Source organism: Homo sapiens, chromosome 20 (assembly GCF_000001405.40).
Source record: "Homo sapiens chromosome 20, GRCh38.p14 Primary Assembly".
NCBI classification, from domain to species: domain Eukaryota; kingdom Metazoa; phylum Chordata; class Mammalia; order Primates; family Hominidae; genus Homo; species Homo sapiens.
The window spans coordinates 38,885,681-38,911,039 of NC_000020.11; the positions used below are offsets into that span (position 1 = coordinate 38,885,681).

At 49.7% G+C, this 25,359-nt stretch overlaps 1 protein-coding gene across 4 annotated transcripts in view, besides 4 other annotated features; it reads left to right on the plus strand.

Moving 5' to 3' along the window:
* The window catches only part of PPP1R16B (protein phosphatase 1 regulatory subunit 16B), a 117,328-nt gene that overhangs the window by 79,984 nt on the left and 11,985 nt on the right, over positions 1-25,359 (plus strand). For 2 of the 4 annotated variants that reach the window (NM_015568.4, XM_011528768.4), the window contains 8 exons: positions 3,915-3,985; positions 9,885-10,030; positions 14,901-15,004; positions 16,988-17,112; positions 20,289-20,414; positions 21,299-21,374; positions 22,126-22,255; positions 22,348-22,513. In NM_015568.4, coding sequence (NP_056383.1) covers positions 3,915-3,985; positions 9,885-10,030; positions 14,901-15,004; positions 16,988-17,112; positions 20,289-20,414; positions 21,299-21,374; positions 22,126-22,255; positions 22,348-22,513 — 944 coding nt within the window. Of the gene's footprint in view, positions 1-3,914; positions 3,986-9,884; positions 10,031-14,900; positions 15,005-16,987; positions 17,113-20,288; positions 20,415-21,298; positions 21,375-22,125; positions 22,256-22,347; positions 22,514-25,359 lie in introns of those variants that run through there. The other 2 variants (NM_001172735.3, XM_047440086.1) reach the window with 2 other exon arrangements.
* Positions 918-1,418: an enhancer, noted in NCBI's record as "H3K27ac hESC enhancer chr20:37515241-37515741 (GRCh37/hg19 assembly coordinates)". NCBI's record gives its function as "activates a minimal SCP1, AML or CMV promoter by ChIP-STARR-seq in primed H9 embryonic stem cells {active_cell/tissue: H9 hESC(primed)}" and the evidence as "EXISTENCE:reporter gene assay evidence [ECO:0000049][PMID:30033119]".
* Positions 6,922-7,122: a silencer, noted in NCBI's record as "peak4213 fragment used in MPRA reporter construct". NCBI's record gives its function as "represses an SCP1 promoter by STARR-seq MPRAs in K562 erythroleukemia cells {active_cell/tissue: K562}" and the evidence as "EXISTENCE:reporter gene assay evidence [ECO:0000049][PMID:32103011]".
* Positions 7,486-8,444: an enhancer, noted in NCBI's record as "H3K4me1 hESC enhancer chr20:37521809-37522767 (GRCh37/hg19 assembly coordinates)". NCBI's record gives its function as "activates a minimal SCP1, AML or CMV promoter by ChIP-STARR-seq in primed H9 embryonic stem cells {active_cell/tissue: H9 hESC(primed)}" and the evidence as "EXISTENCE:reporter gene assay evidence [ECO:0000049][PMID:30033119]".
* Positions 22,310-22,809: an enhancer, noted in NCBI's record as "H3K4me1 hESC enhancer chr20:37536633-37537132 (GRCh37/hg19 assembly coordinates)". NCBI's record gives its function as "activates a minimal SCP1, AML or CMV promoter by ChIP-STARR-seq in naive H9 embryonic stem cells {active_cell/tissue: H9 hESC(naive)}" and the evidence as "EXISTENCE:reporter gene assay evidence [ECO:0000049][PMID:30033119]".

Below are 25,359 nucleotides of genomic sequence, written 5' to 3' on the forward strand. Positions count from 1 at the left end.
GAGGAATAATTATAGGTGTGAACTCATAAAATAAAGTGGTTCTGAATTGACCGAGGTGCAAATAAAAGGCTTAGTAAGAAAACATTATTTTTATTTATTTATATATATTTTTTGAGACAGAGTCTTGCTCCGTCGCCCAGGCTGGAGTGCAATGGTGCAGTCTCGGCTCACTGCAACCTCTGCCTCCTAAATTCAAGTGATTCTCCTGCCTCAGCCTCCTGAGTAGCTAGGATTACAGGCGTGCGCCACCACGCCCAGCTGATTTTTGTATTTTTAGTAGAGACAGGGTTTCGCCATGTTGGCCAGGCTGGTCTTGAACTCCTGACCCCAAGTGATCCACATGCCTTGGCATCCCAAAGTGCTGGAATTACAGGCATGAGCCACCGTGCCTGGCCAGAAAACATTATTAATATAATAATAATTTTCTTACTGAACTCTAGAGGCAGGGAGCCCGGTTGTGCACTGGGCGCCGAGGACTTTGCTCCTGTGAGTAGGTGCAGAGCCAGGCCTTGGGCTCCTAGGTACATTGGAAGTAGCACTGCTGAGGCAGCCTTGGCTCATGAGTACTAAGGGCTTCCTAGAGATGGGAATCATTTGTCCCACCTCTTGGGCTGAAAATAACTGCCCAACATCAGGGTAATTACATGACTTGGATTCCTCCACCGCATGGAGAACACCCCAATAATTACTGTGCACAAACACTGCTTTTGGCAGCTGATGCTTATTTTCTGCCTCCAGGAGTATCTCCTGGACAGGAAGCTTATTCTGCTACCCACCCCATGGGATTTGAACCCCTAGCTAATGTGAGCAGAACCATCCAGAAACCCATCCTAGTCAGGGATATAGTGGCCACTGCTCCTCTCCCAAAAGCCATCTGTAATGCTCAGGGCACCCCCACTCACCCGTGGGCAGGTTGGGCCTTGGTGATCAGTGGCTTTGCCATAATCTCCTACATGGTCCTGAGGCTAACACCAGGCACTGGGTCTGTAGGAGATGCCTGCGAGCAGAGGACTGCCTGCTACAGACATGAGTCTTCTGGAGTCAGCCCTTGAGGGTGATCTGCTTTGCTCAGTGATGGAGAGGCTTTGTCCTTGGACTGAACTAGAGGGCTGCCAATTGGGTCAAGGTCCTAGAGGAGTTCTTGAGGACTCACTGTGTACCAGGCTTTAGGGATAGAGCCATAAGTACCAGGTCATGGTTCTGCCCTTGTGGGGCTTAGTGTCCAATGGGCAGATACACTCAAAGCCCATAATTAGTTATATAATTGTAGTTGTGACAAGGCTGTAAATGAGATGTATAGGAGCTATGGGTATATATAACAGGAGCCTGGGGAGTTTAAGCTGAGACCTAAAGGACGAGGAGTGGGGCAAAGGTGTGTGTGTGTGTGTGTGTTAGTGTTAGAGGCAGATGCATGGATGATGGTGGTTGGATGGATGAATGGATGCTGGTGGATGGATGGATGAATGATTGAGTCTCCCAGGCAATGGGAACAGACTATGCAAAATCTCAGAGGCCACAAGAAGTGATGTGACTCTGTAACTGACAAAAGACTATTGTGGAAAGTGTTTGGAGTTTAAGAAATGAGAGTGGTGAGGTTAGCAGGTAGGATGATTGTGCACAGCTGAGCAAGTTGTGTACTGGACAGCTCCAGAAGATGCCAGTCTTATAAACCATGATGTGGATGGTGCCACCTAGAATTGTGCAAGCTAGAGACCTGCAGACAGGGCTCACATCACGCAAGAACTTGTATGCCATAGGAAGAGTTGTGGACTTTATTCCCAGAGCAATGGGGAGCCATGGAAGGATTTTAACAATTTGTGACAGAGCTAATTTTCATTTATAATGCCCCAAAGCAGCACCGTCCAATAGAACTTTCCAAGAAGATGAAAATGGTCTATTTCTACACTTTCCAATATGGTAGCCACCAACCACTTGAAACTGAGCACAGCATGCCTGAGAAACTAAATTTTGAATGTTAATTCGTTTAAGCAGCCGTAATAGCCAGATGTAGCTAGTGGCACCATGTTGGTCAGGACAGCGCCAAAGGATCTGACCGTACTGGACAAAGTCCTGTCATGCTTAACCCATACTGGCTATGCATACTGGGCAGGTCTACTGGAGATGCCACCTCTTACTGGGTGGTGACCTCAACCTCCCCTTCACGCAGGGCCTCGGTTCACACTGAGGCCTAGGGTGCAACTGGGACTGTGGTTTGGGAGCTGGGCCTCATGAGGATGGAGCTGAGGGGCTGTACCCCCACCCCATCCACTGCTCCTGAGCCCTTGAGGACTCCTCCCTTGCCTACCAGCTTCTTTTTCCCCTGGCACCCCCTGGAGTTGCTGACTGGGTTTTTTTGTCCTGCAGAAGGGATAGTCTTCTCTTCACCCTGCCCAGCTCACTTCTAATTTGTTTCCCCACAGCAGAAATCAACGAGGAAACCACCTCAGCCCTGCCCTATGGCATGAACCGTAGCGTGGAGATAGTGTCCACGGTGGGGATTAGGGGATGTGGACTTTGGCTTCTGTTTCACAGGGAGCTAGACTTGGCTGGGGGTGGGAGGAGGCTCAGAGGGCTCAGGGCCAGCCTATGTATCCTGTCTGCAGTGCCTGGGCCTGCACGCCTGGCTTCATCAGCACGATGGCACGAGGGCCACCCACACAAGCCAGCTTGTGTATTCAAGTTCGTCCACTTGCCCCACAAACAGCCACCCTCTGTTCACCACTCTGGCCTAGAGGTCCGCTTGCCCAGTAACTGCACAGTCTACCTTTGGGAAGCTGGATCCAGGGAAGATCCTATTGAGGCCCTGCAAGCAGGCTCGGAGTCATTTGGACAGGGACAGTAGAGGTGTGGCCTGGAAGGGGAGCCAGGGGCTTGGGTGGACTCGTCCCACTGGCCCCCTGGACTCCTCATCCACGGGGAGAGGCAAAGCTGGAGGGCCTGAGATCACCCTGCCAAAGCCAGAGCTGGGGTCCCAGTTGCCAAGCCTGGGAAGGGGCCTGCAGGGCTGGTGGGTGAGCTCCTCTCTTCTCTCCCTTTGCACGTGGGTTCAGGGGAGAATTGGGGCTTGAATGGTGGTGGGCAGAGGAGGAGGGAGGAGGGTCACAGTGATAAGGGGAGGGGGCTTATCCTAAGCAAGAGGGATTCCAGGCTGTCAATGCTGTTCACTCTGGCCTCCCTGCCCACCCAGAATCCCTGAACACACACACACACACACACACACACACACACACACACACACACACACACACCCCTAGACAAAATTCTAGGGATTGGGGATGGTTAAAACCTCTGCTACCCTCCTTCCCCAGGGCTCAGTAGGGCCAAAGAAGGGGCATTTGACACCCATAGGTGAGCCATCACCTGCTGTGGGGACCCACAGTTTTAGTAAAAATCATCACATCTGCCAGAGCAGGAGTTCACCTTCAAACCACATGCTGGCCACTGTGCTGAGCCCCTGGCATGGCTCACCTCGATGACCACTCACACTGCTACTGTGAGGAGGATGAACATCATCCCCATTTTGCAGATGAGAAAACTGAGGCACAGAGAAGGAAGTGTCTTGACCAAGGTTGCACAGCCAATGAGAATGGTGCCCAAATTTGAACCTCCAGAGTGTATGCTTTCAATGACTAGAATGTGCATCCTCTGGACAACAAATATAACTTGCTTAGCTCAGTGCCTGGCATCCGGGAAGTGCTAAATAATTGTTAGTTCTTGTTATTGTTATCCATAATAAGATAGGCAGTGGCATCTACCTCTTGGAAATTCTGGGCGTCAGTTGTCTCATCTGTAAAATGGGGAGTTGTTACTACATTCTTCATAGGCCTGGGGGAGAGCGGGTCTTACCCGGGCCCCTGCATGCCTGCACACCCAGTGTGCAACGGGAAGCTCACTCCTGTACCCTCCTATTGCAGTACGCTACTTCCTGAAGAATAAGGTCAGCCCTGATTTGTGCAATGAGGACGGACTCACAGCCCTACACCAGGTAAGGCCGGGCTCGTTGGGGCTCCAGGGCTCCCTGCCCCTCACCTGGACAGGTACCCTGTTTCTCGGCACTTTCCTGCTCAGAACCCTCAGGGAGGAGGGAATGAGGGAGGGAGGAGGAGCTGCAGCTGGCCCATCTGAAAGGCTCTTGTCTACTTTGGAGATACGCGTGTCTGTTACTGCCATCCCACAGAGCCCTGTGTGCGCCCGCAGACGCGACTGCACATGCAGGCTCTAAGGACAGGGAGCCTTTGTTCACTGCATCCCTCCTGCCCATGAAAGCAAGTGTGTTTGGAGCTTGACAGTGTACGAAGCACATTCACACTTATCAGGACATCCCATCCACCCTGGCGACAGAGGCAGTTGGCGGGACTTATGTGACCTGCCTGAGGTCACATGGTCTTGATTTATGGTCTTGAGCCATGTGCTATCATGACATGTCCTTTCCAAGGCAGAGTGATGGGTCCAGCCCTCCCTGCTGGGGATGGCTTCTCTGGCTGTCACCTTTCACGTGGATGCTGCTACAGCCTCGTAACTGGTCCCCAGCATTCAGTCTGGCTCTGCCATAATTCTCTGTCCACGCAGCAGCCATGGGGATGCTTAAGCCAAAAATCTCTTCCTGTTACTCAAAGTTCTCTGGTGTCTTCCCATAATCTGGGGATAAAGAACAAACTCTGCCACAGTGCACAAGGCTGCACGAGGCTGGGCTCATGACCAATCTTCTAAGCCTCCTGGCTCTCTGGGCTCCAGCCACCCAACTTCTCAGGTCCTTGTACCCAGTGGGCTCCTCCCCACCACACTTCCCACAGCACTTGGTGCTTTCACCCATTAGCTGCTGTCCACAGCAAGAGCCTGGGAGCTGTGCTGTGATAGACATACCCTTTGTCTTCTGAAGGCCCTCTTCCTTCGTAATTAGTCATTTTAGCCATTGATGTCATCACTTGATGTTGACTTCTCCCCTACTCAGACGCTGAGCTGCCTGAGGGCACAGCACATACCTCTTGCTTATGAGTGTGTCCTAGCATCTTTCCCCATGCTGGCATACAGTAGGTGCTCAATATGTGCATGTTGAATTAATGCATGAACACACCAAAGCCTCCCTGTGCCCGAGTTTCTAAGCAGATGGACTTGAGTGAGAGGCCAGGCAACCAGAACCCTGGGCTGGTGAGGGCCTCTCCACCTCGGTACAAGGGCAGGGGTGGGATGCACAGAGAATGGCCACGCCCTGCCCGTAAGCCCCAGGGGCAGGTCCCTGTGTGTCCTCTTGGCTTCTCTCTCACAGGGCCTCAGGCATCTCTCAGGCAGCTGCCTCAGTACCCCCACTCCATCTGCCATTGGAAACTCCCAGACTCCCAGCTCCATGAACCCTAGAGGGCCTGGGACTCCACTAGGGAGCAGAGAGCGGGTGGCTGCTATAGCTTGCCCTGAAATGGAGACCCAAATGCCAATTCCCAAGGCTGGGCTGCACCCACCAGCCATGGGCATGAGGATCAAATGTGTGGGCTACCTCCTACTGCGTGCCAGAAAGGTGAGGATGTCAGGACTGACAGTCAGGCTTGTGGCCCGGAGCTGTCACCCACTAGCTATGTGACTGTGGGGAAGTTACTTAAGCTCTCTGTGCCTCAGTTTCCTCATCTCTAAAAGAGGAATAACAAGTACCCATCTCATTGGGTGGTTGTGAGGATTAAATGAACACATGTAAAACTTTAAGCAGCACTCGATACTGGATAAATATTATTATTATTTATTAAAAGTTATTAAAATGTATCATGTGACCACTTCCCTGCAAATTACTTCAGTTATATATTTCATTTTTATCCTTACAACAAACTTCAGAAATATTATCATCCCCAGGCCAGGCGTGGTGGCTCACGCCTGTAATCCCGGCTCTTTGGGAGGCCAAGGCAGGTGGATCACCTGAAGTCAGGAGTTCAAGACCAGCCTGGCCAACATGGCAAAACCCTGTCTTTACTAAAAATACAAAAATTAGCTGGAATTTGGTGGTGAGTGTCTCTAATCCCAGCTACTAGGGAGGCTGAGGTAGGGAGATTTGCTTGAACCCGGGAGACAGAGGTTGTAGTGAGCTGAGATCATGCCACTACCCTCCAGCCTGGGTGACAGAGTGAGACTCTGTCTCAAAAAAAAAAAAAAGAAATATTATCATCCCTGTTTTATGGCTCAGGAAACTGAGGCAGCCTATTCAATAGAACTTTCTACAATGATGGAAATGTTCTGTGTTTCTGCAGTGCACAGTACAATAGCCACCAGCCACACGCGGATCCACAGCACTCGAAATGTGGCTGATGTGACTGAGGAAATGGATTTTGAAGTTTATTTAATTTTACTGGATTTAAAGAAACAGTGGCTGTCTTATTATACCGTGCAACTTGGGGAGGTGAAATCTCTTTGTCCAAGGTCAAGCAGTGATTGAGTGTTTAAGTCAGGATTTGAAACAAGGCAGTCTTAACTGCTCTGTGGGCACCACAGCTGCAATTCTCTGAGCCCCAGGTCCCCTGTTGAGTTGCCATCCCTGCTTGCAATGAACTCTCAAGTGGCACCCTTTTTTTAGCTTGGGGTTCCCGCCACCTCACATAGTGCCTCAACTTCTTCCTTGTTGGTCACATTGCTTTCTCAGGACCAGTTTCTCCTGTGGGTTCCTGGGCCCCTGGGGATGCGTGGTCAGGGAGGCGGGAACTCGCCAGGCTCCGAGTTTAGCTGCATGAAGCTCCTGGCTGACCAGCTGAAACCCGCACCTCACCCCAACCACCACACGTGCCTTGGGCCCCATGTTGGGGCCTTTCAGGGAGACATCCACCCTCATTAGCCTGTGAGCTTCCATTTATTTTTTCAACAAATACCTATTGTGTACCCACTCCATGCCAGCTGTCTTCTGGGAACAGGGCCCCAGAAGTAAGTTAGGCAGAGTCCCTGCTCTCAGAGTTCAGAGTGTGCTGTGGCCACAGGCACATAAATAATAATAGAGGTAATGCAGTGTGGTCAGCCCTTGCACGGAGATAGGCAGGGGCTCAGTGGCAGCTTAAAACTGGGAACCGATGACTCGACTCAAAGGGGAACTGAGAAAGACTTCTAAGAGGAAGGGATATCTGAGCTGGGTCTTGAAGGATGAGTAGGAGCTTGCTAGCTAGAAAAGAATAAGGCAGAACATTCAAAGCCGAGGGAATAGCATGTGCAAAGCCTTGAGAAAGGGGCTCAGCATTTCAAGTTTGGAGTCTGGAGGGTTCCATGTGGCACAGTTAGAGAGCAGGGAGCCTCAGGGAGAGGTGCAGGTGGTGAGACTGAGAGGGTTGAGAACAGGGCCTTTGGAGTCAGACTGCTTGGATTTCAATTCATCTTACTCCATGTGACCTTGTACCACCAGGCTTCCTTGAGCCAGTTTCCCCATCTATAAAAGGGGCCATTTCCCCGTCTGTAAAAAGAGCAATCCTCATAGGCTTGTTTTGAAGATTAAATGAGGCAATGCATGGCCAAAGCTTAGCAAGCTGCTTGACTCTTGTAAGTCCTCAGAAAGCATTAGACATTGTTATTGACAATGTGATGTGACATGCTATTACTGTTGCTGCCGGGGCTGTTGCTATTGTTATCACTGCTATTGTCACTGTAGCTCCAGTGCAACAAAGGAGATGGGGGCACATTAAGAAGAGCTTCCCATGCCTGGCAAAGGAGTGTGGATTTTCTTCTCTTGGCAACAGGGAGCCCTCAGAGGTTTGTAAACGGAGAGCAACATGATTAGATTAATGAAGAAGCTCTCTCTGGTCGAGGGTGTTAGGAAGGGGAATGACGGGGAGGTAGGGAAAGATGATGAAACTTCATCCAGGGCAGAGGGTGGGGACAGCGATTTAGGAGATGTGCAATTCATACCTGGTGATAGATTGAAGCTGGGAAGGGAGGAAGTGGGAGGAGGCGGGAGGAGGCGGGAGGAGGCGGCTGACTGCCAGGTGCCATTTCCCACCTCGGCCGCAGCAGAGGAGGAGGCCCGCCCACTCCACCAGCTACCACCCACTCCATGTGCGCCCCTGCACCCAGCCCCCAACGCAGCCCTTATTCAGGCCGGGTCTCCCAGGTGTAGACTGGTCCAGCCCCTGGACATCTATCTCACAAGACTCTGCCATCTGGGCACACAGTCCCCTCGCCCTTCAACCAGAGGCTTCCACTCCACCCCCTATGTTTCCTGCGGTCTCTAGGGGTTGGATTTCTGGCCCTCTTGCCCCTGACCCCAGGGGCTCCTCAGCGGCATCTCCCAGTGAAGGCCTGGAGATGCTCACCTTCCACCGCAGCCTCGCTTCGTTGCCTTTGGCGCCCTCTGCCGGCCGCGCCGTGCTGCTGCGTGGTTCTCCCGCCCGTCTGAAGCAGCACCCACTCGCTTACAGGGTCACACCTTTCCCTGCCTGTCCGGAGAGAATGTCCTCAGACCTAGCCACCGTCCCCCCCGCACCCCCGCACCCCCGCCCCGCAAAGACCGGCTGGCGCAGAAAGAACCTGGGTCTCTGGCGCCATCTGTGCAAACGGCTGCTCCTTTCCCACATGTCCTGGCGCTGAGCCCTGGCTTCCCTGGGGATAGGGGTGGGGCTGTGGTGCCGCCCCATCCCACGCCTACACCCACGCCCACAGCCACCTGGGGCCGTGGGCTTCCACGGCCGCTCCTGCTCCTTCTGTTGGCGTCTGGACTCTTCTCTCTATCCCTGTGGTCGTTTCTGGAGGCCAGGCCACCATCATCTCTTAACTGGGTGGCTTCAACACAGCTCCTCACTGTCCCCTCCCAACGTGCACACATGTACGTGGGCGTGCACGCGCACACACACCATCTGTTCTCCACGTGTAATCAGAGGAGCAGTTGTTTTTAAAAGCAATTCTGATCATGCTCCCCTTCGTAGTGTAACTCAATGTCTCCCATTGCACTGATGACCAAGCCCCAAGCCCTTATCTGGGTGGGCAGGGCTGAGCCTGTGAGCCCTGCTGTGTCCCCTGCTGGCTTTCGCAGAGGTCACCTCTAGGGAAGAGTTTCATCCCGCAGTCTGTAAAGTGGCTCCCTGTCTTTCTCCTCTCTCCCGGCCTTTCCCATCCTGGTGCCTAGCTTGACGCTCCTCTGTCTCCTTGGGATCTTTTCCTCCCTGTCCCTGGAGCCTGGGGGCCACCTGTGTTGGAGCCTGCGTTCTCTCTAGGAGGCTGCAGGCTGCTGGCCCTTCCCCCTTACTGGGGCTGCCCCACGTGCCATCACTGCAGCATGTAGGCAGGAACACAAACATGGCTGTCTCCTCGCAGGGACTATCAGGACCCCTAGAATGCTCACGTTGAGCTGGATTATTTCAGGGGGAGTCTTGGTTACCTGAAGGCTTCCCCAAGATCTGAGCTACCTGGTCAGAGGTTCCTAAGTCAGAGGTTTCAAGCTATGATCTTGAAACCGCTTTGGAGGCCACTGCCAGGAAAGGGGACACCCTCCCAACACACACACCCCTGCCTCAACCCAACCAATCCTGTTTGAATTTACTGGTCATCTAAGTGAGAGTTCTCCATATAATTTTCTTTGGAGAAAGCCTTTTGGGATTAAAAAATACGTTTTAAAACCTCATTCAAAATTTTGTCCCATTTCACTGATACTTGCAAAGCACTTTATAGCTGACAGAGTGTTTTTTACCTGTATATTTTTATCTTACATATTATTAACTTCATTTTTACTCACAAGGAGACTGAGGCCCAGAGAGGTTAAGTGGCTTGCTCAAGGTCAAGGGCAATGCTTACAGTGTGAACATCATGGAGCTGGATTCAAACAGGCCTTCCACAGTCTTCCTCATGGCCTCTTGCGGGGAACCTGGTGTGTCCTGACCAGGGCCCGGGGCCCAGTGCCCTGCCTGGAGCTGACTCTGCCTGTGTGTCTCTCCCAGTGCTGCATCGACAACTTTGAGGAAATTGTGAAGCTGCTCCTCTCCCATGGTGCCAATGTGAACGCCAAGGACAACGAGCTGTGGACACCTCTCCATGCTGCAGCCACCTGCGGCCACATCAACCTGGTGAAGATCCTCGTTCAGTAGTACGTGCCCCTCCCTGCCCCAGAGCAGCCTCCCTCCACCTCTTGTCTTTTTCCAACTTCCTTCTTTCTCTCCTCCCTCCCTCCTTCCTTCTTTCTCTCCTCCCTTCCTCCTTCCTTCTTTCTCTCCTCCCTTCCTCCTTCCTTCTTTCTTCCCTCCCTCCCTCCTTCCTTCTTTCTTCCCTCCCTCCCTCCTTCCTTCTTTCTTCCCTCCCTCCCTCCTTCCTTCTTTCTTCCCTCCCTCCCTCCTTTCTTCTTTCTTCCCTCCCTCCCTCCTTCCTTCTTTCTCTCCTCCCTTCCCCCCTTCCTTCTTTCTTTCCTCTCTTCCTTCTTTCTTTTCTCCCTTCCTCCCTTCCTTTCTTCCCTCCCTTCCTCCCTTTCTGCCTTTCTTCTGTCTCCCCTCCCTTCCTTCTTTCTTCCCTTCCTCCCTCCTTTCCTTCTTTCTTCCTCCCTCCCTTCCTTCCTTCTTTCTTCCCTCCCTTCCTTCTTTCTTCCCTCCCTCTCTCCCTCCCTTTCTTTTCCCTACCTGCCTCCCTCCCTCTCTCCCTCCCTTCCTTTCTTCTTTCTTCCCTTCCTCCTTCCCTCCTTTTCTGCTTTTCTTCCTTCCTCTCTTTTCTCTTTTTTTCTCTCTCTCTGTCACTCTTTCTCAGTCTCTCTTGGTGCTTGTCACTTTCTTTCTCCCCACATCCTCTCTTCATCTCTCTCTCTGCTTCTACCTCTCACCCTCTCCTCCCCTCAGTTCCCCTTTACTCTCCCCATCTCTGTGTGCCTGTTCTGCTCTTTTCTTCTTCTATCTCTGTCTCTCCTTCACTCTTGGTCTGTCTCTGTATTTTCCAGTCTCTTTTTATTTTCTCTCTTCTCCTTTCATTCTCCCTTTCCCCCCAATTTTTTATAGTGATAAAACACATATAACATAAAATACCATCTTACCCATTTTAAGTGTGCAGGTTAGTGGTATTAAGTACATTCATATTGTTGTGCAGCCATTACCACTCTCCATCTTCAGAATGACTTTCATCTCGCAAAACTGAAACTCTGTACCCATCAAACAGTAATTCCCATTCCCTGCCTACCCCTGGCTCCTGGCGACCACCATTCTACTTTCTGTCTCTATGAATTTGACTACTGTAAGCACTTTATAGAAGTGGATTCAGAAAGGCCGGGCACGGTAGCTCACGCCTGTAATCTCAGCACTTTGGGAGGCTGAGGCAAGTGGATCACCTGAGGTCGGGAGTTCGAGACCAGCCTGACCAACATGGTGAAGTCCCATCTCTACTAAAAATACAAAATTAGCCGGGCATGGTGGTGCATGCCTGTAATCCCAGCTACTTGGGAGGCTGAGGCAGGAGAATCGCTTGAACCCAGGAGGCGGAGTTTGCGATGAGCTGAGATCATGCCATTGCACTCCAGCCTGGGCAACAAGAGCAAAACTGCACCTCAAATAAATAAATAAATAAATGAAAAGTGGATTCAGCTGGGTGTGGTGGCTCACGCCTGTAATCCCAGCTACTCAGGTGGTGGAGGCAGGAGAATCGCTCGAACCCAGGAGACTGAGGTTGCAGTGAGCCAAGATTGTACCACTGCAATCCACCCTGGGCGACGGAGTGAGACACCATCTTAAAAAAACAAGAAGTGGATTCATACAGTATTTGTCTTTTTTTGACTGGCATATTTCACTTAGCATAATGTCCTCAAGGTTCATCTATGTTGTAGTATGTGTCAGAGTTTCCTTCCTTTTTAAGGCTGAATGTACTCCATTGTATGTCTATACCACGTTTCACTTATGCATCCATTCATTGATGGACACTTGGGTTGCCTCCATGTTTTAGCTATTGTGAATCATGCTGTGACGAACATGAGTGTACAAATATCTCTTGAAATCCTGCTTCCAATTCCTTTGGTTATACACCCAGAAGTGGAGTTGCTGGATTGTATGGTAATGCTATTTTAAATTTTTTAAGGACCTGCTATACTGTTTTCCACAACATGTTACATTCCCACCAACAGTACACAAGGATTCTAGTTTCTCCACATCCTCACCAACACTTGCTATTTTCTGCTTTTTCTTTTTTGTTAGTAGCCATACTAGTAGATGTGAGGTGGTCTCTCACTGTGGTTTTGATTTGCATTTTTCTCGTGATGAGTGACGTTGAGCATCTTTTCATGTGCCCGTTGTCCATCTGTATGTCTTCTTTGGAGAAATGTCTATTCAAGTCCTTTGTCCATGTTTGAACTGGGTTGGGTTTTTGTCATTGAATTTTAGGATTTCTCTATGTATTCTGGAGATGAATCCCTTATCAGATAGACGTACTATTTTCTCCCATTCTATAGGATGTCTTTGAAATCACTGCCAAATCCACTATCATGGAGGTTTTGTTCTATGTTTTCTCCTAAGAGTTTTATAGTTTTAGGTCTTTCATTTAGGTCATGGGTCCAGTTTGAATTAAATCTTATATATGGTATTGGGTAAGGATCTAACTTCATTCTTTTGCATGCGGATATCCAATTTTCCTACACTATCTGTTGGAAAGATGGTTGGTCTTTTCTCCATTGAATGGCCTTGGTACCCTGTCTAAAATCATTTAACCGTGTATGTGAGGGTTTGTTTCTGGACTCTATTCTATTTTATTGGTCTATATGTTTGTCTTTATGCCAGCCCCACACTGTTTGATGCTAGAGTTTTGGAGTTCGTTTTGAAATCAGGAAGTGTGAATCCGCCAGCTTTGTTCTTCTTTTTCAGGGTTGTGTTGGCTATTCAGGTTCCTTGAGATTCCCTATGAATTTTAGAGTAAGCTATTCTAGTCTGCAAAAAACATCATTGGAGATTACAGGTGGCTGACACCTGTAATCCCAGCACTTTGGGAGGCCAAAATGGGTGGACCACTTGAGGTCAGGAGTTCGATACCAGTCTGGCCAACATAGTGAGACCCTGTCTCTACTAAAAATACAAAAATTAGCTGGGCGTGGTGGTGCACGCCTGTAATCCCAGCTACTCAGGAGGCTGAGGCAGGAGAACTGCTTGAACCTGGGAGGCGGAGGTTGCAGTGAGCTGAGTTTGAGCCACTGCACACCAGCCTGGGTGATGGAGCAAGACCTTGTTTCAAAACAACAACAACAACAACAACAACAACAACAACAATCATTGTGATTCTTAAAAGTAATGGCAAGAACCACAATTACTTTTGCACCAACCTAAATAATAATTGGTATCACCCAGAGCTGGGCACTGGGCACACAGGGATGCAGAAGTCCTGGGGAGCCAGGAAGAAAGCCAGGGGTTTTAAGTACCAGAGCTGAGACAGAGCCAGACCAGGGGGCTGATCATCTGAGGGCAAGGAGTCAGAGAGAGTGGCCCAGGGCAGGTAACCTTTTGCACTGGTCTTGGCAGAGCGGCAGGAGCCCATCGTTGGCTCCCGGGGGGATGGATATGACAGTACTGCTGCCCCAGCTCAGAGAGCTGGATAAACTTGCTCTGGGGTGTACGAAAGCTCAGAGAAGTCACAGTGGAGGGCTGTTAGGCCAAAGGACTGGATGGTGGCCTGTGCCTATGTCTCTGATGGGAACCTGAGTATGGCTAATTCTGCTAGGAGCATCAGATGGCCACAGCCTGATCAGTGATGGTGCTAAGAGGACAAGGAAAGTGGTGCCAGCCTGGGTCAGTGGGTCCCAAAGCTGATCGGTATTACAATCACCTGGGGCATGGGTTTAAAACAGATTCCCATGCCCTACCCCAAGGACTCTTTCAGGAGGGCTGGAGTGAAGCCCACCCAAGATGCTGCATTTTATTCCCATGGTCCCCAGGTAATTCTGCCACATGGCATCCAGGGCCATTCTTAGGAACCACTGGCCCAAAGGGTAAATTCTTCCAAGGAGTCCCAGGTCTCCATTCTTCTACCTCTGTACTATCAGCCTTTTGAGTAGGGACTTGGAGGAGGTGGAATATAACTGAGGATGTTTCTGCATATGGGCAAAAAATGAAATAGAACATGGAGAAGTAAAAAGAACTAATATGAGAGACCTGGTTTTGAGTCTGGACTCTACTGTATCCAAGCTGTGTGACCTTGGACAAGTGACCGAACCTGTCTGAGTCTTTTTTTTTTTTTAAACTTGCTCTAGTCTTGCTCTATCACCCAGGCTGGAGTGCAGTGGCGTGATCTTGGCTCACTGCAACCTCTGCCTCCCAGTTTCAAGCAATTCTCATGCCTCAGCCTCCCGAATAGCTGGGATTATAGGCTCCCACACCACGCCCCGCTAATTTTTGTATTTTTAGTAGAGACAGGGTTTCTATGTCGGCTAGGCTGGTCTCGAACTCCTGACCTCAGGTGATCCGCCCGCCTCGCCCTCCCAAAGTGCTGGGATTACAGGCTTGAGCCACTGTGCCCGGTCATGTCTGAGTCTTTGTTTCCCCTTGCGTGAGATGGGGCCAACAGTATTAACCTGAGCTATTATAAGGGTTAAATAAAAGGATGCCTGCAAAAGGGGCTTAGATCAGGTTTGGCTCTAAGCAAGTGCCTGGTAAGTGGTGCTGCTGCCATTAATGTGATTTTTGTTATTGTCACCAGGAGGACTTTTATATCTGTCCCTAAGTCCCTGCCTGCTGGTTCAACAGAGTGAAAGGCTTAGGGAGGTCTTCTGGGATAGCTGTCCTGGGACTTTGGTCTCTTCCCACCTGGGACCCTGGGATCCTGAAGCTGTCGTGCTCTTGGGCTGTGTGTCAGGCAGATCCAAGCATCATCTTGCTGGGGTACACCTTGGTGGGGTTTTGAGTGCCGGGTTGTACAGTAGGATTGCAGGCGAGAGGCCAGAGGGCAGAGGCAGCTAGACCAACCCTAGCCACACCTACTTGGCCCTCACCCTGCCTCTTTCTCTGCAGTGGGGCCGACTTGCTTGCTGTCAACTCGGATGGGAACATGCCATATGACCTCTGCGAGGATGAACCCACCCTGGATGTCATCGAGACCTGCATGGCATACCAGGGTAAGGGAGGGCAGCCTGCTATGAAGTGAGCACAGCACAGAGTTGCAGAGAGCGTCCCTTAAATCAATGCAGGCGAACAGATTAGCTACGCATCGGCCTGCCTCGTGCGCTGTGCTCAGTGAATAGGATGGGTCCCCATTCATATCCTTATCTGTGTGATTATCAAGAGCAGGACATGAGAGGACCCTGGAAAACATGCTGCGCAGAAGGGAGGTATTGATCTCATTCGTGTCACCCACACACGCAGGTGGCCGCAGCTGGCCTTGTCTCATCTTCATCAGCTGTGACAATTTGATTCAATAAATGTTCACCATAAAGATATATTCCTATGTGGGACAATAATAAAGTCAAGAATACTGGAGGGTGCCTGCTCTGTGCCAGGCACCACGCTGGCTGCCAGGGGCCCAGATAAACAAGATGTGGGCTGTTCTCAACTCACAAATGAGGTTCAGAAAGGAAACAGATGCAGCAATGAGAGACCTGCGTGCCCCAGCACCCCACAGATAGACCTCTGAAGCGCCACCTCCTTGGAAATATGTCACATCCCCAGATCCTCAGCTGCAGCTGCAGTCCTGCCCTGGCCCTGCCCTTGTGTACCCCACAGAGCCTCAGTAACCGTGATTGAATGTCTTGTTCCTTGCACCCAGATCTTCCTATTCATCTCCTGCAGAGGTTCTTAACCATTTTTGTGCCAATCTGGTGACTCTATGGACCCCTTCTCAGAATAATGTTTTTATTTTTTTGAGATGGAGTCTTGCTGTGTCCCCCAGGCTAGAGTGCAATGGCACAATCTCGGCTCACTGCAACCTCTGCCTCCCAGGTTCAAGTGATTCTCCTGCTTCAGCCTCCCAAGTAGCTGGGATTATAGGCATGCACCACCATGCCCAGCTAATTTTTGTATTTTTAGTAGAGACAGGATTTCACCATGTTGGCCAGGCTGGTCTCGAACTCCTGACCTCAGGTGATCTGCCTGCCTCAGCCTCCCAAATTTCTGGGATTACAGGCGTGAACCCCCGCGCCCAGCCAGAATAATGTTTTTAAATGCAGTTATAAAAGTATAGGATTATAAAGGAAGCCAATTATATTAAAGCGTAAGTACCAAAACATTTTTCAATGTGTTAGATAGAAACTTCGTTAATTCATTAAACAATAAGATAACAGGATATGAAAATAGCTATAGTATCTGTTGGTAACAAAGTTACAGGCACTGCTAACACTACTGTGGGTTTTGCTTACATTCTAATGGTAGGGAATACTCAATTTCGTTTAAAGCTTAGTCAAAAGAAATGTGTGATTTTATTTCCTCCTTTTGTAGATCTCTCCTGAATTCGATCGAACAGTGCTTGGTCTAATGGATCTTTTTACGGAGCATGTCATCCTCTCCTTAAATACTGTTTGTAGCTGTCAGTAACACACTTTTAAGACAGGAATGGGATTCGGGCTATACAATGTCTCTCTGGGCCCCTACCTCAATTGACTCAGCTCTCCACTTGAAAGTAATACATTCATTCATTCAGTCCTTCTGCAACTAAAATTGATTGAGCGTTGTGCCAGGTGCTACAGACACAACCATGGTTAAGATGAAGGAAACTAACAGAGACCCTGGTCAGATAGGGTGGTCAGCAGAGGCCAGCTTGGGAGATGATCCAGTCCAGGACCTAAAGAATAAGACAGAGGCAGCCATCTGAGCAGTTGGAGGTGTGTAGGTGGATGGTAAGGACTTTCAGGTAGAAGAACAGCATATGCAAAGTGACCAATATGAATCCATTGCCTAGTGGGTGCCAGGCAGGAATGCCCTTGCTCTGTGGGCCAATGCATGGTGTCTCATCAGGCCTGAAGACAATGATCTATGGGCATGTCTGCATGCCCGCTTGACTGGCATATCCTAGGGAACAAGAGCCATGCCTCCCTCATCTGCCTTCCCCTGCCCTCTGGGGTCGTAGGCCTGAGGGTGCTAAATAAATCCCCTCTTTCCCACTGCAGGCATCACCCAAGAGAAAATCAACGAGATGCGGGTGGCTCCTGAGCAGCAGATGATTGCGGACATCCACTGCATGATCGCAGCGGGCCAGGACCTGGACTGGATAGATGCCCAGGGTGCCACACTGGTGAGGAGATGGGCCAGTACCAAAACCAAGACCAGCTAGGTCCGAAGTGGGCCAGCACCTGGTGGGGACCAACCCTGTACCCTTGGGGCCTGTCTGTGACCTTGGACCTCCGCAAGAATCCTTTTGGGCCAGGATTGCCCCTGGATAGGGAGGGTCAGCAGAGCAGGGCTCAGCCTCTTTGAGAACCTGGCCTCTCTCTGGGCTGGGCTTGGTGGCTCACACCTGTAGTCCCAGCTACCTGGGAGGCTGAGGTGGGAGGATCACTTGAGCCTGGGAGTTTGAGTTTGAGTTGTGATTGCACCAATGCACTCTAGCCTGGGTGACAGAAAGACTTTGTCTTTAATAAACAAACAAACAAAAAAGAATCCAGCCACTCTCAAGTGGGGCTTGGAGTTAGGAGCCTGGGTCGGAGACCTGGCTCCCACCTGTTCACCAACTGCTCTGTCTCCAAGATATTCCTTCACCCCAGGCTTCATGTGTCCATCTTGAGCTCCTTATTTCCCTCTCCTCTAATGATGTCCTCCATTAAGGACTGGTGTCACCATTCACCCACTCACTCGTGCTTTCTTGCTTTGCACTGTCCATTCCCCTGCCTTAGTATCACCTCTCCTACCCTAGCACCCCACTGCCTTGCCTCATCAGCTCCCCTGATATTACTGCAACAGCCTCTCCTTTGGGTTCCCTGACTTCAGAGTCTGCCCACCACTCCCAGTCATCCATTCATCCATTGGTCCATCCAACCATCCATCCATCCATCCATCCATCCATCCATCCGTCCGTCCGTCCGTCCATCCATCCATCCATCCATCCATCCATCCATCCATCATTCCATCCATCCATCCAGCCATCCAGTCAACACACAGTTATGAGCACCTCCTCTGTGCACATACTTTACTAGACCCTGGAGACAGAGAACAATGGGACCTTCTTCTCTCTCAAATCCGCCTGGTTAACTCCACTCATCCTTGCAGCTCAAGTGTCACTGACTTAGGAAAACCTCCCTGGCCACTCCTCATAGGCTCTCAGAGCACACTGCAGCCTAATATTGGGGAGGTCTGCTTCTGCAACCTGTAAGTCAAAATTCAGAGCATGGCTATGGCAGCCTACCCCACTGACTGGGGGGTGGGTGCCCTGTCCCAGGCTTAGGTTCCACGCTGGTCGTAAGCACTCAGCAGTCTCGGGATCTCGAGCTCACTAGATAGGGCTCAGCAGTACCAGATATCCTCACTGCCCCTCAGGCCTGACCTGGCAGCCCAGGTGTGATAAGTGGGCTTCTCCCACCTGCTTCCTGAGCTCTCACATCTGTTTTATGCCCATTTCTATTACTTGGGTGCCTGCTTGGATCACCTGCTCAGCCTAGCACTCAAGAATGGGGTCAGGTAGGAAGTCTGACTATTTCTGTCTGAAGTCAAGGCCAGGCTGCACTAGGGCATTACCCAGCCTCATTGCAGCTCCAATGGGGCTGTCATTGGGTCCTCTAGACACAGGGATCTTCTCTACCTGGGCTGGGGCTGGCCTCAGGGTGGCCCCACCCCCATGGGCTGGGCATATACTAGGTCTCAGGTCTTCCCAGTAAACTGGAGATCATAGTGTCTTCCTCACAGTGTTGCTGGGAGCATTAAATGAGATTCTGTGTGAAAGTGCTTAGCACAGTCTGCAAATTCTCAATAGATGTTAGCAATGACCATTATTTTTACTAACAATGCCACTATTCCACTCATACCTTTTCATTTCCAGCCAAGTAGTGAGGTTTGTAATGTCGGACTGGCCAGCAGGTGTCATTCTCTACAACTGACAAGCATCAGACATTTATAAATCAGATAATTATACTAATTTTCACATCATACCCTTGCTTTTTCAAGTTGGAAAAAAAAAAAGCTTCAAGCAACCTTCTCCCAGGATGAGGTGGCATCTGACCATCAGGGCTGTGTTCAGAAGGATCACTTCCTGAGGCCATGCCTTCTTTGTCCCACTGACTCTCCAGCCCAAGACCTCAGGCCCCCGAGGTTCTCTGGCTTCCTCCCAGCTAGTCTTCTGCTAGCCGCCTTGGACTCTCACTTCTATCTCTCATCTTGGCTGGGCAGTTGATGTCTTTTTGCCTTATTTCCTTCTCTCTCCTTCATTCATTCTCATGGTCATCATTTAGGACTCTCTAAGAATGTGAATCCCTTACTGAGTGTTCATTATGGGCTAAGCTATTTATGTATTTTGGGGGCAAATTGAACAATCATGACAACTGAGGTCTGCCAGGCAGTGGCCATGACTGAAGGCCTTGAATGGGATCACAGTCCCTCATTGGATGTATTATCTATTGCTGCATAACAAACTACCCCACAATGTAGCATCTTAAAACAATAATAAATATTTATTGTCTCACATGGTTTCTTTGGGTCAGAGAGTTAGGAACAGCTTAACTGGGTGGCTCTGGCTTGGTGGCTCTCATGATATTGCAACCAAGATGTTGCAATATTGTTGAGACTACTGGGGCTGCAGTCTCATCTGAAGGCTTGACTGGTACTGGAAGATCCACTTCCAAGTCAGTTCACACACATGGCTGGCAAGTTAGTGCTGGCTGTTGGCAGGAAGCCTCAGTTTCTCACCTCTTTAGGACCTCTCCTTGAGGCTTCTTGAGGATCCTCACAACATAGTGGCTGCCTTCTTCTAGAATAATTGATCCAAGACAACATAAAGTAGAAGCAGAAATGCCTTTTATGCCCTAGCCTCAGAAATCACAAACAGGATATTCACAATATCCTACTTGTTAGAAGTGAGTCACTCAGTCTGGCCCACATTCAAGGTGAGAACAGTCAGGCTCCATCTTTTAAAGGAAGATGTGTCAAAGAATTTGTAGACATATTTAAAAATCACCATATTGAACCTCAGAGACCCCTTCTTCAGGGCTCAATGCACAGTAGGGGCTCAGTAAATGCTATCGCTTTAACCACATGGATGCTAAGACCAACCACAGGGGAGAAGAATTCAGCTCTCTACCTTTCCTTTTAAGTCCATATTTCAGACTTAATAATCCTCTGCAATGTGACTGGTATTTCCATTTCATTCTATTCCATTCTACTGGCCCCAAGGATGCTGTGGGAGTTGGGTGAAGGTGAGAGCTAGCCTACCGTCAATGTGGGGCTGATCCCCTGAGGAATGCTCACTTCTTTCCTCTCCTCCAGCTGCACATAGCTGGAGCCAATGGATACCTGCGGGCAGCTGAGCTCCTCCTGGACCATGGAGTGCGTGTGGATGTGAAGGACTGGGATGGCTGGGAGCCCCTGCATGCAGCTGCCTTCTGGGGACAGGTAGTTCTCACCCACAGGGCTGTGGGGGAGGCCGGCACAGGGCTAACCTGCTGACACCAAGTTTTTTGGGCTGGCAGTTGTTTTCAAAGAACATAAGACTTTAAGGCTTAAGGTGTTGAATATAGCTCATATGTGGGATATGAAAAGGCCTAGGGAGTTTGCAAAAAACATTGGACAAAGCAAGTTGTGTTTTTTTTTTTTTTTTTTTTTTTTTTTTGAGATGGAGTCTTGATCTGTCACCCAGGCTGGAGTGCAGTGGTGCAATCTCATCTCACTGCAACCTCCATCTCCTGGGTTCAAACAATTCTCCTGCCTCAGCCTCCTGAGTAGCTGGGATTACAGGCATGTGCCACCATGCCCAGCTAATTTTTTGTATTTTTAGTAGAGACAGGGTTTCACCATGTTGGTCAGGCTGGTCTCAAACTCCTGATCTCAGGTGATCTGCCTGCCTTGGCCTCCCAAAGTGCTGGGATGCCACCATGCCTGGCTGACAAGTTGTGTTCTAATAGGATGGTAATCAAATTTGCCAAATAAGAAAATTACCAGCATTTTTGCTTCTAGCAGTTTCTCCATTTGTTTCCAGATACAAAACTCTGATTGTCACTTACACCTAGTCCCTCCTTAGATACCTGCCAGCTCTAGAGTTACAGCCAACTCTTTCTTCTCCTTCTTCTTGGTGTGGCCCAGGCATGTGGAGGAGGTGCTAAGCTCATTGCATCTGTCTGGATTCCCCCCATGGCTCTAGTTTGCAGGCCTTCCCTGGAAATCAACTTTGTCCCACCATTCTTTGGGTCACATCCTAAGAGGCCTTGGGCACTCTCTCCACCTCCTAGGCTTTCTGAGCTCTGGGCAGGGGGACACATGAGCTTCTTCCTGTGTTTCAGATGCAGATGGCAGAGCTATTGGTGTCCCATGGAGCTAGTCTCAGTGCAAGGACATCCATGGATGAGATGCCAATAGGTAAGTCCAGCACAATAGCTGGTGTGCACAAATAGGCAGTTATCAATGTTTTGATGGGTAGAGGGAGAAATAGATAAATATATGGTTGTATAGATTGATGGATTGGTGTCTAGATAGATAGATGGATTAATTAATGGATGGTAGATGAATGGACGGATGGACAGATTAATGGATAGATGGATAAATGGATGAATGGATGGTTGAGGTGGTAGATGGGTAGATATTATGAGGTCTGGTTGAATGGATGGGTGGGTGGGTGGATGGATGGATGGATGGATGGATGGATGGATGGATAGACAGAAAAATAAGTGGATGAGTGGGTAAAGGATGAATCTATGAATACATGGCTCAGTCAGCAATAGGTAGATAGATGGATGAAGGGGTTAGGTAGAATAGATGGGAGTATGTAGCTTTATTAGCATCTTTGCATAATTTATTGCTTGGGCTATGTGGGGTACCTGCTTGGGGACTCTTCTTGGAAACTATCAAAGAGCAACATGAATCCCTCGGTCATAGCTGGGAAGCTTAGGAATTGTGACTGTGCCCAGAACCTGGGTTTCCCATTCTTATAATCCTCTTATAAACACACTCACTCAACTTTGGCTGGCATTGTTTTCTTGCCTCCCTGCATGCCCTGAAAGATGCTTGGAGTTTTCAGTGGGTTGGGGTGGCAGCTCCTCTGGTCTGGAGCACCCTCTTGCGCCACAGGTCCTGGCCCCGTCCCCCACAACAGACTCCTCTGCCCCTTCAGACCTGTGCGAGGAGGAAGAGTTCAAGGTCCTGCTGCTGGAGCTAAAACACAAGCATGATGTGATCATGAAGTCACAGCTGAGGCACAAGTCATCCTTGAGCCGGAGGACCTCCAGCGCAGGCAGCCGTGGGTGAGTCCGGGGCAGGGCAGCCAGGAGTCCCTGTGTGTGCTCCTGCCTGTGGTGCCTGGGTGCAGCCTCTAGGACCCACTTTGTCCTCTCAGGAAGGTGGTGCGGCGAGCCAGCCTGTCGGACAGGACCAACCTGTATAGGAAGGAGTATGAGGGAGAGGCCATCCTGTGGCAGCGGAGTGCAGCTGAGGATCAGCGGACCTCCACCTACAACGGGGACATCAGGGAGACCAGGACAGACCAAGAGAATAAGGACCCTGTGAGTGGCCTCACGCCCTGCCCTAGTGTCAGCCACTGCAATGGGAGGAGAACAGGGCCCAGCCTGGCCTTGCCTCTTCAACTGAGAGCCTTCAGAGGGAAGTAGCCAGGCACTGCCCTTAAACTAGCATATCCAGTCTGATGATGATGGCTACTGTAGTTAAACCAGCAGATTCAGTCTGATGGTGGTGGCTGCTGTAGTTAAGGAGGTGATCGGGGAGTGTGTTAGAGGCTGAGCTGGGTGCTTTGGCACACAGGTAGGTCTCCTAATTGACAGGGGGTGAGTGTCCGCTATGCGCCTAGCTGTGCTCCAGCACACCTAGCAGTGGACTTCCAAGGAGAGAGCTTCAGTAGGGCAGTCACCCAGGAGCTGAGGGTGCTACAACTTCTTTTTCAGGAAATATAACAAGATATTGAGAATTGTGTTTATCAGAACATGTTTTTTGAAAAATGGAGTAGGATCCTAGTAGGACCTCTGAGAAGCCTGCTCCTGTAGCAGCCAATGGTCCTTTAAGCTTTAAGCTGCTTTCATTTCTGATGGCTGCTTTAAGAAATTATCACAAACTGGATGGCTTAACATGGTGGAAATTTATTCTCTCTCAGTTCTGAAGGCCAGAAGTCTAAAATCCAGGTAACACCAGCATTGGTTCCCTCTGGGGGCTCTCAAGGGGATTCTGTTCCACGCCTCTGCGAGCTTCTGGTGGCTCAGGCGTTCTTTGGCTCTTGCTAGCAATGATTCTAGTCTCTGCTTCTATCTCCACATGACCTTTTTCTTCGTGTGTGTGTGTCTGTTTTCTTTTTTTATTTTTATTTTATTGGTTTTTTTTGAGACAGGGTCTTGCTCTGTCACTCAGGCTGGAGTGCAGTGGCATGATTATAGATCACTGAAGACTCCAACTCATGGGCTTAAGCGATCCTCCCACCTCAGCCTCCCAAGTAGCTGGGACTATAGGCGGGGGCCATCACGACTGGCTAATTTTCAAATTTCTTGTAGAGATGAGGTCTTGCTGTGTTGCCCAGGCTGGCCTCAAACTTAGCCTCAAGCAATCCTCCCACCTTGGCTTCCCAAAGTACTGAGATTACAGGTTCGAGCCACTGTACCTAGCCTGTTTTTTCCTCTTATGAGGACACCAGTCATTGGATTGGAGCCCATGCCAATCCAGTATGACCTAATCTTAATTTAATTTATTACACCTGCAAATACCTATTTCTAGATAAAGTCACATTCAGAGATTCCAGGTAGACATGAATTTTTGAGGGACACTACTTAACCCAGAACCAACACACTCACTCAGCATGGCTGCTTTCTTGCTGAGTGGAGTGAACAAGTTTGGGGCTGGAGTGGAATTGCTGAGGATGAGGGAGAAGTTAACTGTACCAGAAGTGGTCTGCCATTTTCGTTCTTCCACTACACCACGAACAGATGAAAACATGCCTAGAGAGTTTAGCCTTGGTGGGATGAAATTGATTAGCTACCGAGCATGCCCACGTGTCTCAGAGGGACCCTGCTTCCCAGCACGAACAGTGGGGTCACCTACTGCCTGTCTCACCAGGAGGTGTGAAGGTGCCTGCCCAAGGGGAGGCCACATCAAAGCCACCAGCTGGTGATGGAGAGGGCACGTAGGGAAGATTTGTTCTGCCTGGCCCCTTAGTCTGAGGATTGGTGAGAAAAGAGATGTAGATCAGTATCAAATCACATTTCAGATGTCTCCCAGCTGTGCTTTATTTATTTTTCCTTTGTGATTGTGGTGTAACTTAAGTATGGTAAAGCAGACAAATCTTTTTTTATTTTTTTATTTTTTTATGATATGGAGCCTCGCTCTGTTACCCAGGCTGGAGTGCAGTGGTGTGATTTCAGCTCACTGCAACCTGTGCTCCCGGGTTCAAGCGATTCTCTTGCCTCAGCCTCCTGAGTAGTTGGGATTACTAGTGCCCGCCACGACGCCTGGTGGATTTTTGTATTTTTAGTAGAGATGGGGTTTCACCATGTTGGCCAGGCTGGTGTTGAAGTTCTGACCTCAAGCAATCCTTACCCACTTGGACCTCCCAAAGTGCTGGGCTTACAGGTGTGAGCCACCATGCCTGGCCAAGTAGACAAATCTTAAATGAGATTTTCAACAACCTTTTACAAATGTACACACTCAGATGAATTCATAGAGCATTTTCATCATCCATGTTCTCTCTCCGTCCTTTCCCCCACTCCAAATGTAGTCACTATTTAACTTTGAGTTCTAAAGATTAATTTTGTATATGCATATGAATGACCCTGCAGTTTCTTTCGTGTCTGGCTTTTTTTACATCTGTGAGAGTCACCCACGTTGTGGCATATAGCAGTAGTTTTTTTTTGTTTTTTTTTTTTGAGACAGGAGTTCACTCTGTTGCCTGGGCTGGAGTGCAGTGGTGTGATCCTAGCTCACTGCAGCCTTGACCTCTTGGGATCAAGCGATCCTCCCACCTCAGCCTCTTGGGTAGCTGGGACTATAGGCATGCACCACCATGCCTGGCTAATTAAAAAAAATTTTTGGCTGGGTGCCGTGGCTCATGCCTGTAATCCCAGCACTTTGGGAGGCCGAGGTGGGTGGATCACAAGGTCAAGAGATCGAGACCATCCTAGCCACATGGTGAAACCCCATCTCTACTAAAAATACAAAAATTAGCTGGGCATGGTGGCACGCGTCTGTAGTCCCAGCTACTCAGGAGGCTGAGGCAGGAAAATCACTTGAACCCGGGAGGTGGAGGTTGCAGTAAGCCAAGATCGAGCCACTGCACTCCAGCCTGGGGACAGAGCGAGACTCCGTCTCAAAACAAAACAAAACAAAACAAAACAAAATTTTTTAGAGATGGAAT